The sequence below is a fragment of the Homo sapiens genome, chromosome X, assembly GCF_000001405.40.
Source record: "Homo sapiens chromosome X, GRCh38.p14 Primary Assembly".
NCBI lineage: Eukaryota > Metazoa > Chordata > Mammalia > Primates > Hominidae > Homo > Homo sapiens.
In genome coordinates, this window is record NC_000023.11 from 70,576,856 (window position 1) to 70,595,410 (window position 18,555).

Consider the following 18,555-nt stretch of genomic DNA (forward strand, 5'->3'; position numbering starts at 1 on the left):
AGTGCAAATCCTTTATCTACAATAACAAGAAAAGAGTTTAGAGGCTGGTAAAGGGAACTCGTCTGGCCTTAGTTTGGTTTTGAGAAGCAGAGAATAAAGAGTGAGCAACAGGTCAGTGAAGCAGTGGGGAGGAAAGAGTCTTTGTTATGAGAAGCCCATAGCTGCCTATATCCACTGGCTGAGAAGATGTAGAGCCTACAAGAACTCACATACACAACAACCTTAGAACTTAAGTAAAAATTTCTATTATCCTTGATCAGGTCCTGAGCTCCTCTCCACATGTATCATCTGCAAGTAGAAGGTCTAAAGAGACCTCATTGCAATTAAAGATGTTATCAAGCAAAGCAAAACAAAACAAACAACTCCAGCACAGTTTATACACAAAGATACTACATGAAAATGGGATGGAAGAAACAGAAAAAAAAAATGGCAGATGGAGAATTCTTACCAGAGAAATGTTGCCATATGCAGATTAAAATTGTGACTAAACATATCAGCATAAATTCAGTAATATTAATTAAGTAGTCATCTCTATAAAACAAGAATATAAAACAGAAATGCTAGAACTCAGGGAAGAGTTGGTACACAACAAAAGGAAATGGAATATGAGCTATTTCAGAGACAAAGAAGGTAAAAAAATAAAGCCACCACAGGAATAAAAGTAAAACTGGAAGCAGCAAAAGGAAGTGGAAGCAGCAAAGGGAAAAAAGATACCGCTGAATAAACAGTAAGAGACAGAAAACAGGAAAAACCAAGCAACCAAAATGAAATGCAAATTGAAATTGGTTGTAACATCTTCTCGGTTTCCTCATCAGTTAATGAATTAAATAAAATCCTTGATGTGTTCATTTAATATTCCTAAGAGAGTCATGATTATATCTTTTTTTTTTTTTGAGACAGTCTCACTCTGTCACCAGGTTGGAGTGCAGTGGCAGGATCTCTGCTCACCGCAACCTCCGCCTCCTGGGTTCAAGTGATTCTCCTGCTTCAGCCTACCAAGTAGCTGGGATTACAGGTACCCACCACCACGCCAAGCTAATTTTTGTATTTTTAGTAGAGATGGGGTTTCACCAAGTTGGCCAAGCTGGTCTCGAACTCCTGACCTCAGGTGATCTGCCTGCCTTGGCCTCCCAAAGTGCTGGGATTACAGGTGTGAGCCACCACACCCAGCCAAGGTTATATCTTAAAAGTACTGACTGAGATGCCCAATGGATACACTTGACAGGGCCAGGTAAATTGTGTTACTGGAGAAATGTAACTCCTAGATTGTTTACATTAATCTTTTCTTGGCTTCCAGGTTGAATCCAAAGTGGCAGCAGAAATTTGTTGAATCTCTGCTTCTTTCTTTTTTCTTTTCTATTGAGTTTATGTTTTGTTTTAGTTTCTGGTTTGTGTATAGTCAGTAAGTTATATTCTTCCTTGGTAGCAGCAATGACTGGGAATGTGATTATATGGTTTGACCATTTGGTGGTCTTTGTAATTGGACTAACGGATTATCTAGTCACTTATCTAGTCACTGATGGGTGGGAAATAACAGAGAATTTGTCTTTTTTGTTGTTCTATTTGTTCATTTTGAACTTAAATTAATCAGTAATTTCACACCCGCAGGGAAGGTGAACACTGTAATATCTGGACTGGCATATTTCTGTGTTTACTCTTAACTTATAGCTGAAATTGTAGATCAGAATTCATAAGATCGCTTTATCTATGTCTATGTGTCTACAACTGAAAAAGGCTTTGACCTCACATTGTGTGAGTGTAAAATATTTTCCTATCTCTGGGGAGTATTAATAAGTTATATCATAAAGTTTCCTAAATTAAAGGAGCTCTGTTCTAATTGGTTTATAGACATAAATAAGAACTTACATACATATTTTTTTAACTCCAAGAAAAAAAGAAGTTGAACTTCTTTTTTTTTTTTTTTTTTTTTTTGAGACAGAGTTTTGCTCTTGTTGTCCAGACTGGAGTGCAATTGCACGATCTTGGCTCACTGCAACCTCTGCCTCCCGGGTTCGAGCAATTCTCCTGCCTCAGCCTTCCAAGTAGCTGGGATTACAGGCGCCCACCACCACACCCAGCTAATTTTTCGTATTTTTAGTAGAGACAGGGTTTCGCCATGTTGGCCAGACTGGTCTCGAACTCCTGACCTCAGGTGATCCACCCGCCTTGGCCTCCCAAAGTGCTGGTTACTGCGCCCAGCCAGAAGTTGAACTTTTAATACTAAAATGTGCTAAACTAAAAATATTTTCACAAAAAATTCTGCTAGCTCAAACATTTTGAGAATCCAGAATTAAGGTATATCTTTGGCAAATGAGATTTGTTTAATAATTCTTGTTTAAATCAAGAAACTGGGCCGGGCGCGGTGGCTCACACCTGTAATCCCAGCACTTTGGGAGGCGGAGGTGGGTGGATCACGAGGTCAGGAGATCGAGACCATCCTGGCTAACACGGTGAAACCCCATCTCTACTAAAAATACAAAAAAAAAAAAATTAGCTGGGTGTGGTGGCGGGCGCCTGTAGTCCCAGCTACTCGGGAGGCTGAGGCAGGAGAATGGTGGGTGAACCCAGGAGGCGGAGCTTACAGTAAGCCGAGATCGCACCACTGCACTCCAGCCTGGGCGACAGAGCAAGACTCCGTCTCAAAAACAAAAAAACAAAAAAAACAAAAAAAAAAAAAAACAAAAAAGAAACTGAAGAGACAATCCACAGAATGGGAAAAAGTATTTGCAAACTACCCCTCTGACAAGAGATTAATAAGCAGATATATATACAGAGCTCAAACAACTCTATAGGAAAAAATCTAGTAATCTAATTTTTAAAATGAGCAAAGGATCTGAATAGACATTTCTCAAAAGAAGACACATGAATGGCAAACAGGCAACTGAAAAGTTGCTCCGCATCATTGATCATCAGAGAAATGCAAACCAAAACTACAGTGAGATATTATCTCATCCCAGTTAAAATGGCTTATATCCAAAAGATAGGCAAAAACAAATGCTGGCGATGACATGGAAAAAAGGGAACCCTTGTACACTGCTGGTGGGAACATAAATTAGTACAACCACTGTGGAGAAGAGTCACCAATCCCACTCCTAGGTATACACTCAAAAGAAAGGAAATCAGCATATTGAAGAGATATCTGCACTCCCATATGTATTGCAGCACTATTCACAATAGCCAAGATTTGGAAGCAACCTAACTGCCCATCAGCAGATGAATGGATAGAGAAAATGTGGTACATATACACAATGGAGCACTATTCAGCCATTAAAAAGAATGAGATCTAGTCATTTGCAACAATATGAATGGGACTGGAGGTCATTATGTTAAGTGAAATAAGCCAGGCATAGAAAGACAAACCTTGCATGTTCTCACTTATTTGTGGAAGCTAAAAATTAAGCCAACTGAACTCATGCAAATAGAGAGTAGAATGATGGTTACCAGAAGCTGGGAAAGATAGTAGGGGAGAATGTGAGGATGGGTAATGGGTAAAAAATATAGAAAGAATGAATAGACCTAGTGTTTGCTAGCCTAACAGGGTGACCACAGTCAGTATTAATTGTACATTCTAAAATAACTAAAAGAGTATAATTGGATTGTTTGTAACACAAAGGATAAATGTTTGATGTGATGGCTACTTCATGTACCCTAATGTGATTATCACGCATGGCATGCCTGTATCAAAATATCTCATGTAACAATAAATGGATACACTTATAATGTACCTACAAAAATTAAAAATAAAACATTAAAAATAATTTTTATTTAAAAGAGTTATGTCATTTTTGGTGATTTATTTATGTAATGTATAAAACAAGCATACATTTTATTTTACTTCGGTCTGTTTTTCCTAAATGTATACAGATTTACTAATCAAATAAGATAATGTTACTTATATGTAATATTTAAGATTATGAAAGATGTAAATTTGTGTTCAACTGAAATTGAATCCCTGTTCTGACAAACTTTTATTTCAGCAGTAATTACATTCTGTGGTATGTTAGATTTAAGATAATCTAATTAACTTAAACACTGGTTTGATATTAAATTGAGTTCATTAATGGATAATCATTGGATACCTACATAAATTTTAATTAATATAGACTGCTTATTGATTACTAAGCACAGTTTTTTGTTTTTGTTTTTGTTTTGTTTTGTTTTTTTGAGACAGGGTCTCACTCTGTCACCCAGGCTGGAGTGCGGTGGCACAATCATGGCTCACTGCAGCCACAGCCTTCCAGGCTCAGGCAATCCTCCTGCCACAGCCTCCCGAGTAGCTGGGAGTATAAGCATGTGCCACTATTCCTGGTTAATTCTTTAAAAAATTATTTATAGAGACAGGGTCTTCCTATGTTGCCCAGGCTGGTCTTGAACTCCTGAGCTCAAGCAATCTCCCTACCTTGGCCTCACTAAGCAGTTTTAAGTTTATATACTGTTGCTTTTTTTTTTTTTTTTTTTTTTAAGATGGAGTCTCGCTCTGTCACCCAGGCTGGAGTGCAGTGGCGTGATCTCGGCTCACTGCAACCTCCGCCTGCTGGGTTCAAGTAATTCTCCTAGCACAGCCTCCCAAGTAGCTGGGACTATAGGCATGTACCACCACACCCGGCTAATTTTTTGTATTTTTAGTAGAGATGGGGTTTCACCATGTTGGTCAGGCTAGTCTTGATCCCCTGACCTCGTGATCCACCCACCTCGGCCTCCCAAAGTGTTGGGATTACAGGCATAAGCCACCGCGCCTGGTCCTATATACTGTTGCTTCTTATTTTTATATGCTATAAAGAGGCAATATCTTTGGGTCATGTTAATGGTTGTGTTCATTTTCCTCTTTAAAAGGGATGGGTGTGTACATTGAAAGTGCTACATGTGTTCGTGAGCTCTGTTAATCTGCTATAATGTTTGTGAGAGATAGTTCTCAATTGCACCCCTCAAATTTTCTCTTTGAAATAGATATTATTTTGGTTAAAAGTTAAAATTAAAACAAGTGGTTGAGATTATATTATGAGCAATAGTGACAAATGGGTATATGCTTCTGTTTTAAAGGGAAAAGTAGTTTGTTTCTAAGACAGTAGTTCTCAAACTTTCTGTTCTCAGGACCTCTTCGTACTCTGAAATATTACTAAGGACTTCCAAAGAGGTTTTCCGCATGTATGTTGTAACTATCAATACTTACCATATTATAAATTAAAACAGAAAAAATTAAATATATTTATTGATTGAATTGATTTGAGATGAATCTGTTGCATGTTGATGTCAATTTTAATAAAAATAATTTTATTTTAAAAATAAGAAGATTGCTTCACATTTTTGCAAAGTTCCCTAATGCCCAACTTAATAGAAATAATTAGACTCTACTATCTGCTTCTGCATTCAATCTATTACAATATCACACATCATACTGCCCCTGAAAAACTACACATCTTAGTATTATAATAAAAATAGTTTTGACCTAGCAGATGCTCTGAAAGATGGTCAGTTTGTTCCAGAACATCAAAGAGCATAATGAAGGACAAACTGGGAAAGTTAAATTTTTTTGCCCTGGTTTAAACCTAGGTCTGAAATAAAGCTATGCAATGTGTTAAAATTGTAGCAACCTTATCTAAATTTTGATGGGCTTGCTTCCTTAATTTATTGATTAATGCCTTCACCACAATGCAAAAGTTATTCTTCATCTTCTGTGTAATCTGCCTAGATAGCAGACTCTGTGTTTTACAAGAATAATTCTCTGAGCTTTATGTTGTCTTTTTCTTTATTTTTGATTATTTAGTGGCAAACTAACAAAGAACAAAGGTTCCTCACTTGTCAAAGAGCTAAAGTTCTTTAGAATTGTGTTACCTCCTATGTTAGAATTGTGTTACCTCCTATGTACATTTATTTATTTATTTATTTATTTATTTATTTATTTATTTATGTGATGGAATCTCACTCTGTCTCCCAGGCTGGAGTGCAGTGGCACAATCTTGGCTCACTGCAATCTCCACCTCCCAGGTTCAAGCAATTCTCCTACCTCAGCCTCCCGAGTAGCTGGGATTACAGGCGTGCACCACCACACCGAGCTAATTTTTGTATTTTTAGTAGATACGGGGTTTCACCATGTTGGCCAGGCTGGTCTTGAACTCCTGACTTCAGGTGATCCACCCACCTCGGCCTTCCAAAGCCCTATGTTTATTTTTAAATGTTTGATTGTCACTTTGTTTAAATAGGTAACCAAGTATTGTTTATTGGGCACTCATGATCCTATTTATTTATTTTTATTTTTAATTTATATAAATTTAAAGGACAGAAGTTCAGTTTTGTTACATGGATATATTAAGTAGTAGTGAAGTCTGGGTATTTACTGTAACCATCACCCAAATAATGTACATTGTACCTATTAAGTAATTTCTCATCCTTTAACCCCCTCCCACCATCTCACCCTTCCTAGTCTCCAGTGTCCATTATTCCACACTCTATGTCCATGTGCATACTTTATTTAGCTCCCACTTATGAGTGAGAACATGCAGTATTTGACGTTCTGGTTCTGAGTTGTTTCACTTAAGATAATGGCCTCCAGTTTCATCCACGTTACTGCAAATGACCTGATTTCATTCTATTTTTATGGCTGAGTACTATTTAATTGTGTGTATCTTCATTCCACATTTTCTTTGTCCAATCTTCCATTGATGGATACGTAGGTTGACTCCATATCATTGCAACTGTGAATAGTGCTGCAATAAATATATGGGTGCTGGTATCTTTTTAATATATAATTTCTTTTCCTTTGGGTAGATACCTAGTAATGGCATTGCTGGATTGAAAAGTCATCAGAAAAATGCAAATTAAAACCACAATGACATATCATCTTACACCAGTCAGGATGTCCATTATTAAAATGTCAAAAAATAACGATGTTGGCAAGGATGCAGAGAAAAGGAAATGCTTTACACTGCTGGTGGGAATGTAAATCAGTAGAGCTTCCATGGACAACAGTGTGAAGATTTCTCAAAGAACTAAAAACAGAACTACCAGATCCTATTTTAATCAAGGCCCAATTTGCCTCTAACAACTCTTGATTTTACCTTCCAAAAATTGAATCACAAATAGAGATTACTATGAACTACTGTACATCAAAAAATTAGATAACTTAGATAAAATGACAAATTCCTGGCCGGGCGCGGTGGCTCACGCCTGTAATCCCAGCACTTTGGGAGGCCGAGGCGGGTGGATCATGAGGTCAGGAGATCGAGACCATCCTGGCTAACAAGGTGAAACCCCGTCTCTACTAAAAATACAAAAAAAAAATTAGCCGGGCGCGGTGGCGGGCGCCTGTAGTCCCAGCTACTCGGGAGGCTGAGGCAGGAGAATGGCGTGAACCCGGGAAGCGGAACTTGCAGTGAGCCGAGATTACGCCACTGCAGTCCGCAGTCTGGCCTGGGCGACAGAGCGAGACTCCGTCTCAAAAAAAAAAAAAAAAATGACAAATTACTAAAAGCACACAAATTACTAAATTGACTTTAGAAGAAATAGAAAATCTCAACAGACCTATAACAAGTAAAGAGATTAAATAAGTAATTTAAAACCTCCCAATAAACAGAAGTCTAGGACCAGATGGCTTCACTGGTGAATTCTTCCAAACATTTAAAGAAGAATAAACAGCAGTTCTCTCAAACTCTTCCAAATAATGGAAGAGGAGGGAATACTTCCTAACTTCTTCTATGAAGCCAGCATTACCCTGATACTAAAGCCAAATGTAGACATCACAAGAAAAGAAAATTACAAACCAATATTCTTTATGGATATCAATTAAAAAAACCCCATGAAAATACTAGCAAACCAAATCTTACAGCATATTAAAGGATTATACAATCTGATTAGGTGTGATTTATCCCAAGAACGCAAGTTCAACATAAGTAAATCAATTAATGTAATATACCACATCAATAGAAAAAAGGAAAAAAGGTCATATTCATTGATGCAGAAAAATCATGTGATGAAATCCAAAATATTTTCAAGATAAACTAGGAATGGAAGGGAATAGCCTCAATCTGATAAAGGGCATTAAAAAAAATTCCACAGTTAACATTATACTCAAAGGTGGAAGCTTAGCCCTAAGATCAGGAACAAGACAAGGATGCCCTCTCTCACTACCGCTATTCAACATTGTACAGGAAGTTTGCTATTCAACATTGTACGGGAAGTTTTAGCCAGATAAATTAGGCAACAAAGAGAAACAAAAGGCATCCAAAGTAAAAAGAAAGAAGTGTAACTCTCACTGTTCACAGATGACATGACCCTACGTATAGAAAATCCCAAAGAAACCACAAGAAAGCTACAAATTCGGCAAAGTTGCAGGTACAAGATGAACATGCAAAGATCAATTGTGTTTCTATACATCAGCAATGAACAATCTAAAGAGGAAATTAAGAAAACAATTCATTTACAATAGTATTCAAAAGAATGAATTTAGCCAAGAAGGTGGAAGATCTGTACAATGATTACTATAACACACTGATGAAAGACATTAAAGAAGACCTAAATAAATGAAAAGACAGCCTACATTTATGGATTGGAAGACTTAATATTGTTAAGATGTCAACATTTCAAAACTTATATCACGCTAAGCGATCCCTATCAAAATTCCACCAGCCTCTTTTTACAGAAATGAAAAAGTCAATTCTCAAATTTATATGGAATTGTAAGGTGCCCCAATAGTTCAAAATGAATCTTGAAAAATAACAAAGTTGGAGGGCCAACACTTCTCTGTTTCAAAGCTTATTAGAAAGCTACAGTAATAAAACAGTGTGGTACTACCATACAGATAGACATATAGACCAATAGAATAGAACTGAGAGTTAAGAAATAAACCCATACATCTATGGCTGACTGATTTTCAACAAGGGTGTCAAGACCATTATATGGGACAAAGAATAGTCTCTTCAGGCCGGGTGTGGTGGCTTACACCTGTAATCCCAGCACTTTGGGAGGCCGAGGTGGGTGGATCACCTGAGGTCAGGAGTTCGAGACCAGCCTGACCAACATGGTGAAACCCTACCTCTACTAAAAATACAAAATTAGCCAGGCATGGTGGTGCATGCCTGTAATCCCAGCTACTTGGGAGGCTGAGGCAGAAGAATCACTTGAACCAGGGAGGAGGAGGTTGTAGTGAGCCAAGGTTGTGCCATTGCACTCCAGCCTGGGCAACAAGCAAAACTCCGTCTCAAAACAAACAAACAAACAAAAAATAATAGTCTCTTCAACAAATGGCATGGTGGCAACTGGATTTCCACAGGCAAAAGAATGAAGTTGGATGCCTACTACACCATTGAATATAAAAATGAACTCAAAATGGATCAATTACCCAAACATATAAGCTAAAACCATAAAACTCTTAGAAGAATTTATAGGAATAAATCTTCATGACTTTGGATTTGGCAATGGATTCTTTGACATGACACTGAAAGCACAAGCAACAAAAGAAAAGGTAGATAAATTGGACTTCATCAAAGTTAAAAACTTTTTTACATCAAAGGACATTATCAAGAAAGTGAAAAGAAAACATGCAGGAGAAAATATTTGCAAATCATATACCTGATAAGGGTTTAATATACAGAATATATAAAGAAATCCTAAAACGCAACACCAAAAAACAACCCAATTTTAAATATGGGCAAAGAACTTGAATAGACAAGTCCTTTCCCTCCCTCAAAGATGAAATACAAATAACCAATAAGCACATGAAAAGATGCTCAACATCTTTAGTCATCAGAGAAATACTAATCAAAACCATGAGATACTATTTAACCTACTAGAATAGCTATAATAATAAAAAATGGAAAACAACAAGTGTTGGCAAGGAGGTGGAGAAATTAAGATACATTTCCTGGTGGGAATGTAAAATGGCGAGAATGGACTAATACAGTAAATTGGTGCCAGTAGAGTGAGGTACTGCTATAAAGAGACCCAAAAATGTGGAAGTGACTTTGGAACTGGGTGACAGGTAAGAGGTTGGAACACTTTGGAGGGTTTAGAAGACAGGAAGATCTGGGAAAGTTTGGAACTTCCTAGAGACTTGTTGAATGGTTTTGGCCAAAATGCTTATAGTGATATGAACAGTGAAGCCCAGGCTGACATAATCTCACATGGAGATGAGGAACTTCTTGGGAACTGGAGCAAAGGTCACTCTTGCTATGCTTTAGCAAAGAGACTGGTGGCATTTTGCCTCTGCCCTAGAGACCTCTGGAACTATGAACTTGAGAGAGACGATCTGAAATTGGAACTTATGTTTAAAAGGGAAGCAGAGCATAAAAGTTTGGAAAATTTTCAGCCTGACAATGCAACTGAAGAGAGAAACCCATTTTCTGGGGAGAAATTCAAGCTGGCTGCAGATATTTGCATAAGTAATGAGGAGCCCAATGTTAATCACAAAGACAATAGGGAAAATGTCTCCAGGGCACGTCAGAGACCTTCAAGGCAGCTCCTCCCATCACAGGTCTGGAGGCCTAGGAGGGAAAAATGGTTTCCTGGGCCAGGCCCAGGGCTTCTCTGCTTTGTGTACTCTTGGAACTGTGACTTCTAGCCACATCCTAGCCATGGCTAAAAGGGGCCAACATACAGCTCAGGCCATTGCTTCAAAGGGTGCAAGCCCCAAGCCTTGGTGGCTTTCATGTGGTGTTGTGCCTGTGGGTGCACAGAAGTCAAGAATTGAGGTTTGGGAACTTCTACCTAGATTTCAGAGGATGTATGGAAACAAATGGGTGTCCGTGGAGAAGTTTGCTGCAGGGGTGGAGTCCTCATGGAGAACCTCTGCTAGGGTAGTGAGGAAGGGAAATGTGGGGTTGGAGCCCCCACACAGAGTCCCCACTGGGGCACTGCCTGGTGGAGCTGTAAGAAGAGGGCCACCATCCTCCAGACCCCAGAATGGTAGATCCACTGACAGCTTGCACTGTGCACCCAGAAAAGCCACAGACACTCAATGCCAGCCCGTGAAAGCAACCAAGAGGGAGGCTGTACCCTGCAAAGCCACAGGGGCAGAGCTGCCCAAGACGATGGGAACCCACCTCTTGCATCAGCATGACCTGTATGTGAGACATGGAGTCAAAGGAGATCATTTTGGAGCTTTAAGATTTGATGCCCTGCTGGATTTCAGATTTGCTTGGGGCCTGTAGCCCCTTTGTTTTGGCCAATTTCTCCCATTTGGAATGGGTGTATTTACCCAATATCTGTACCCCCATTTTATCTAGGAAGTAACTAACTTGGTTTTGCTGTTATAGGCTTACAGGTGGAAGGGACTTGCCTTGTCTCAGATGAGACTTTGAACATGGACTTATGAGTTAATGCTGGAATGAATTAAGACTTTGGGGGACTGTTGGGAAGGCATGATTGGTTTTGAAATGTGAAAGGCACATGAGATTTGGGAGGGTCCGGGGTGGAACCATATGGTTAGGCTTTGTGTCTCCACCCAAATCTCTTCTTGAATTGTAATCCCCATAATTCCCATGTATTAAGGGAGAGATTGGGTGGAGGTGATTGAATCACAAGGGCAATTTCCCTCTTGCCCTTCTCGTGATAGTGAGTTCTCATGAGATCTGATGGTTTTATAAGGGACTCTTCCCCTTCACTCGGCACTTCTCCTTCCCATCACCTTGTGAAGAAGGTGCCTTGCTTCCCCTTCGCCTTCTGCCATGATTCTAAGTTTCCTAAGGCCTCCCCAGCCATGCTGAACTGTGAGTCAATTAAACCTCTTTCCTTTATAAATTACCCAGTCTCAGGCAGTTCTTTACAGCAGTATGAAAATGGACTAATACACCATATGATGGAATAGAATTCAGCCTTAAAATGGAAGGGAATTTTGACACATGCTATGACATGGACGAATCTTGAATACATTATGCTAAGTGAAATAAGCCAGTTACAAAAAGACAAATATTGTATGATTCACTTAAAGGAAATATCTAGGGTTGGGCATGGTGGTTCACACCTGTAATCACAGCACTTAAGGAGGTCAAGGTGGGAGGATAGCTTGAGCGCAGGGTTCAAGGCTGCAGTGAGCTATGATTGTGCCACTGCACTCCATCCTAAGCAACAGACCAAAACCCCAACTCAAAAAAAAAAAAAAAGAAAGAAATATCTAGAATAGGCAAATTCATAGAGGCAGTAAGCATATGAGAGGTTACCAGGGGCTGGAGAAAGGGGGAATGGGGAAATTATTCTTTAATGGATACAGAGTTTCTGTTTGGGATGATGAAAAAATTTAAAAATAGATAGTGGTAATGGTTGTACAACTGTACACTTAAAAATGGTCAAAATAGCATATTTTATGTTATATATATTTTACCACAAAACTTTCATGAAATAATGTACTGTTTTCCAATAGGGAATTTTACTTTCCTTCATTCTGATATTAGTCACCTTAATTAACTACAGCCATTAAATCTCTATAATGTATAGACAGTTAAAAAAACTCTGAAGATTGCCTGAAGTCTATATATAAACTATATAGATACATATATATATGTATATAGTCTAGCTGTGTGTATAAAAATATACTTAGACTATATATATGTATATATAGAGAGGCATTTATCTCTATCTCACTATATCTCTCTATCTACTCTATCTATAGCCTAGTTGTATTCCTAAAAAAGAAGAAATTCATTTTTTTTGGTGGACAGTTAGCATTCTGACATACTTTTTTATTTTTTATTTTTTTGGAAACAGTGTCTTGCTGTGCTGCCCAGGCTGGAGTGCAGTGGACAATCTAGGCTTACTGCAAACTCCGCCTGCGGGGTTCAAGCGATTCTCGTGTCTCAGGCTCCCAAGTAGCTGGGATTACGGGCACATGCCACCATATTTGGCTGGTTTTTGTATTTTCAGTAGAGATGGGGTTTCGTCATGTTGGCAGGGTGGTCTCGAATTCCTGGCCTCATGTGATCCACCCACCTCGGCCTCCCAAAGTACTGGGATTACAGGCGTGAGCCACTGCATACTTGCTTAAAGAAAAGTCACGGAGGCAATGAATTTGCTCTGAGCACTGCTTTAGCACTTTAAATTCTACTATGAGTTATTTTCATTACCATTAGAGCCTAGGTATACTGTAGTTTGGGTTTTTAAAAAATGTCCAGGTGGTAGGGTATTTCAAAAGAATGATTCCAATGTTAATCTCTAGTTTTTGCATTGTGATCAGACGATGTTGTCTGTTTTATTTACATGTCTTAGAATTTATTCAGGTCTTCCTTGACATCAATTTTGTAAAACTTCAAAAGGCACACGAAAAGATGATATGTTTTCTGTTCTCAGGATACACAGTATATTTTCAGGCTACAGAGTTTTACTCCCATTAAATCTTCTATAATAAGTATTTTATTTGGGTTTTCTCTATCTTTACTTTTTGTTGTTTTTATTCATTTAAGTGACTGTCATAGACTACGAGAAGTAAATTAAATTTCATATGTTTATGTTCTTCCTTATAATTCCTATAATTTGATACTCAAACTGCCAAAGACATAACACATAAGCAAAAACAAAGTGACAGACCAATAATTTCTAAATGTTGGAAAACAGAATTCATCAATATATTAAAATAATAACATACTATGACCAAATAGGGTTTATTCCAGGAATGAAATGATGACTTAATTTTATAAAATCTATTATTATAACTCAATATATTAATAGTTCAAAAGAGAAAAATATGACTATCTCCATAAAGTCTGAAAAAGCATGTAATTCAATTGAATATCCATTGATTTTAACAAATTCTGAAACAGGGACAGAAAAACACATTGTAAAAACTTCAGTCTAAACCTAAAAGCCAATACCATATTTAATCAGGAAATAGAATCAAGATATTATATAACTTCCAAAGGCTTACTACTGTTTAGATTATTTTATTTATTTATTTATTTGTGTATTTATGTATTTATTTATTTATTTTGAGACAGAGTTTCGCTCTTGTTGCCCAGGCTGGAGTGCAATGGCGTGATCTTGGCTCACTGCAACCCCTGCCTCCTGGGTTCAAGAGATTCAAGGATGCCTCAGCCTCCTGAGTAGCTGGGATTACAGGCATGTGCCACCATGCCTGGCTAACTTTGTATTTTTGGTAGAGACGGGCTTTCTCCGTGTTGGTCAGGCTGGCCTCAAACTCCTAATCTCAGGTGATCTGTCCGCCTCGGCCTCCCAAAGTGCTGGGATTACAGGCGTGAGCCACTGCATGCAGCCTATTTAGATAATTTTATAACAAAATATTAGCAGTATCTGTTATCTTGATTGTGAAGACTAGCCTACATTTAGTCAAAGTTAAAGCTTGATTAAATTAGACATTAAATCTAGTGATCTAAGATTGATAATATTATGTTAAACAATAATAAAATATTTAATGCTATACTTTCATATAAAGCAAAGTAAAAAATATTCTTAATCTAAGTAGTGTGTTACAGAGTCAATACTGATATAGAGTGGGGAAAAAATCAGCTCTTAAAGAATCATCTGGGCTGGGAGTGGTGGCTCACACCTGTAATCCCAGTACTTTGGGAGGCCGAGGTGGGCAAATCACTTGAGGTCAGGAGTTCGAGACCAGCCTGGCCAACATGGTGAAACCCTATATCTACCAAAAAATAGAAAAGTTTAGCCAGGCGTTGTAGTGCATGCCTGTATTCCCAGCTACTCAGGAGGCTGAGGTGGGAAAATTGCTTGAACCCAGAAGGCAGAGGTTGCAGTGAGCCAAGATCACATCACCGCGCTCCAGCCTGGGTGACACAGTGAGACCCTGACTCGAAAAAACAAACAAAACAACAGAAAAAAAAAACATTTGACTGGTTATCAAGTACTGCAGTGGCACAAATTTCTGGTGACAAAAGACTTGTTTATTCGATTCTAAGCTCCTTTCAAACTGTGTTACCAAACTTCCAGTTCCTACTGTACCTGTTTGTTTCAGGAAATTATGGATGTCATTGCATGTCTGGATCTCCTCAAGTGCACGACTCAGGAACATGGTCTGTTTGGCAACAGTGCAACAAGTTAATTAGTCCCAACAAAAAAGAACTTTAAGCAAATTAATATAATCTCATATCATTTTCATTAAAAACAGGTAAAAATAAATTAATAGAAAAATGATAGTTTAAACTGAACATTTTGGAGTTTATATAGAAATATTAGCCTCTATTTGCACATTTCCTTACTGTTTCAGAAAAATGAGGATTAAATAGAAAATCTTGAGCATTATCAATTTCTTTAACAATCTAGAACAGAAGAGAAACACTTCTAGAATGGTTGTGTGAGGAGCTCCATGGATCCTCTCCTCAGCAAAACAATCATCATAACTAGTGAAAATTAGAAAACATAATCATGTAAAGGCTCAGGAAATTGCCCTGAGGGTATACAGAAAATGAAGAAACATTTATTCCAGGAAATCTACTAAGTCTTAGTAAGAACAGTAAGAGCCTGTGACATTTAAGCTATGATTCACTCACCATCCGCCAGCTCAGTGTGATGTAAGCACTACTTTAGGTGGGTGTGGCCAAGAAGATAGGACTCTCTCTACCTCCAGTTTCTGGGCTAGGGATTCTCTGAAGGGCCAGAATGCTGGCACTTCTCATCCCCCCAGATCTCTATTGTAGAAGCTCTATTATAAACAAGCATAGCTCAGAGGCCTAGAACTCTCTTTCTCTACCCAGCCTCTATTTGTAAGGCAAAAGCTCTATCCCAGGCATTGCAAGCTCAGGATCCTGGGTCTCAATCTCATCTCATCTCAGCTCTCTCATCTCAGCTCTCATCTCAGCTGCTTATAGGATAGAGTGTCCATGCTGGGAGCAGCAAGCCAAGACTATCAGGGACTACAACTCTTGTCCAGTCTTCCACTCATACAATTGGATTGTCACTCTGACAGAAGTGGGCCACTGTCCCTGCCCCTAGCTCCAAAACAGTGGTTCAGTTTCTGCCCAGTAGGAGAGGCAGATCTATAGCACTCCCTAAAGGAAATGACTTTAATTGGAACAGAGCGTGGGGAAGTTCAAGTCTAAGGACACTGTAAAAAATCATGGAGATTTTGGTAGTGAGCAATTAAGAGGAGATTGATAGCTCAATGATATTAAGAAGAAAATAATAGACCAACTAGAAGTTTATAGAGAGAAGTATGTGAAGAGACAGCTAAGAAGATTTCTATTCCTTCAAAGGGGTCTTCTTTTAATTGGAACAGGCTGTGGGGCAATTTATGCACAAGAGCATTTTAACACACACACACACACACACACACACACACACACACACACGCACACGCACACACACAGTAATCACCTAGCAATTAGTCAAGACTAACAGCTGGATGTGCTACCAATAGAAGAAGGTCATCTAGAAGCTTAAGAGGTCAGATCAGGAAAAGAGTAATAAAGAACTCTCCTAAAATCACTGTCATCCTTTACCAGAGGGAGGTATAAGCAGTCTTTGCACAGGCAAAGACTGTGCCTTCCAAAGAGTGACATCAGAGTCTATGTACCATGGGGAAAATAGACTTCACTATTTCCCTATAGCTAATTCACTAAACAAATAAAGAAGCAAACATTAACATCCACAAACCCCATGGGGAGATCAGTACCCAAAGATACTACAACATATTATCTAAAACGTCCAGTTTTCAACAGAAAATTACAAGATATGCAAAGAGACAGGAAAGTGTGACTTCTACATAGGAAAAAAGCAGGTAACAGGAACTGATTTTGAAAAAGCCCAGATGTTAAACTTAATAGACACAGAATTCAAAGCAGCTATTTTAAATATATTCAAATACTAAATGAAACCACACTTAAAGAAAGAAGGTATGATAAAAATGTTCATCAAAAATGAATCTCAATAAAAGGATAAAAATTATAAAAATCAGATGGAAATTCTGGAGTTGAAAACTACAATAAATGAAATTTTAAAACTCACTAGAGGGTATCAACATTAGGTTTGACTTAGCAGAGGAAGCAATCAGCAAACATGAAGATAGATTAGCAGAGATTACAAAATATGAGAGCAGAATGAAAAAGAAAAAAAATAAACCAAGCCTCAGTAAAACATGGGACACCATTAGGCACACCAATATACCCATAATGGGATTACCAAAAGAAAAGGAGCGAAAAAGAGAAAAAATATTTTAAACAAATGGCTGAAAATTCCCTAATTTTGATGAAAAACAATAATCTACACACTCAAGAAGCCCAAAAAACTCTAGGTGGGATCAAGAAACACAAAGATATCCAACCAAGATACATTACAAAATGGTAAAAGACAAAGAAAAATTTGAAACTAGCAAAGAGAAACATGACTCGCCACATGTACGGGTGATTAAGATTAATAGCTGATTTCTCATTAAAAACAATAAAGGCCAGAAGGCAGTGGGACAACATATCCAAAGTGATCAAAGAAAAATAAAAGTCTACTAATAATCTAATACCTAGCAAAACTATTATTCAGAGAAGGTGAAATAAAGATGTCCCTGGATAAATAAGAGCTGAGAGAATTCGTTGCTAAGAGACAATCTTTCAGGCTGAAAAGCAAGTAATGCCAGGCAGTAATTTGAATCCAGATGAAAAAACAAAGAGCACTGGTAGCATTAATTATATAATTATAAAAGATAGTATTAATATAAATGTATATTTCTTCTTCTCTTGTTTTAAAAAAACAATATATATACACATATATGTGAATATATATTTGTATTGTTGGGCCTCTGATATATAGAAATGAAATATATTTGACAATAACAGCACAAGAGGCAGGTGGGAAGAAAGTTGTTTTGGAGTAAGAAAATGAGACTGATATGGTTTGGCTGTGTCCCCACACAAATCTCACCTTGAATTGTAGTTCCCATAATCCCCATGTGTGGTGCGAGGGACCCAGTGGGAGGTAATTGAATCATGGGGGCAGTTTCCCCCATGCTATTCTCGTGATAGTAAATTCTCACAAGATCTGATGGTTCTGTAAGTGGCTTCCCACTTCACTCGGCTTTCATTCTCTTTCCTGCTACCCTGTGAAGAGGTGCCTTCCATCATGATTCTAAGTTTCCTGAGGCCTCCCCATCCATGTGGAACTATGAGTCAATTAAACCGCTTTCCTTTATGAATTACCCAGTCTCAGGTATTTCTTCATAGTGTGTGAGAGAACAGACTAATCCAGAGACCATATAGTAACTCTAATCTACAGGAAAAAATGAGGAAAAGCATAAAAGGTAAGTAAGATGCTTAATATAAGAAACCATAATATATACTTTCTTCTCTAAGTTTCTTTATTTTTGAGACAGAGTTTCGCTCTTGTTGCCCGGGCTGGAGTGCAATGGCGCGATCTTGGCTCACTGCAACCTCTGCCTGCCGGATTCAAGTGATTCTCCTGCCTTAGCCTCCTGAGTAGCTGGGATTATAGGCACCTGCCACCATGCCCAGCTAATTTTGTGTGTATTTTTAGTAGAGATGGGGTTTCACCATGTTGGCCAGGCTGATTTTGAACTCCTGACCTCAAGTGATCTGCCCACCTCGGCCTCCCAAAGTGCTAGGTTTACAGGTGTGAGCTACCACACCCGGCTTCTTCTCTGAGTTTCTTTAAAATACT

At 38.3% G+C, this 18,555-nt stretch overlaps 1 protein-coding gene across 7 annotated transcripts in view; it reads right to left on the minus strand.

Annotated features, from left to right (window-relative positions):
• Positions 1–18,555, minus strand: part of TEX11 (testis expressed 11) — a 397,485-nt gene that overhangs the window by 65,629 nt on the left and 313,301 nt on the right. For all 7 annotated transcript variants that reach the window (XM_017029649.1, XM_017029650.1, XM_017029651.2 and 4 more), the window contains one exon: positions 14,896–14,968. In XM_017029649.1, the coding sequence (XP_016885138.1) occupies positions 14,896–14,968 (73 nt within the window). The remainder of the gene's footprint in view (positions 1–14,895; positions 14,969–18,555) is intronic.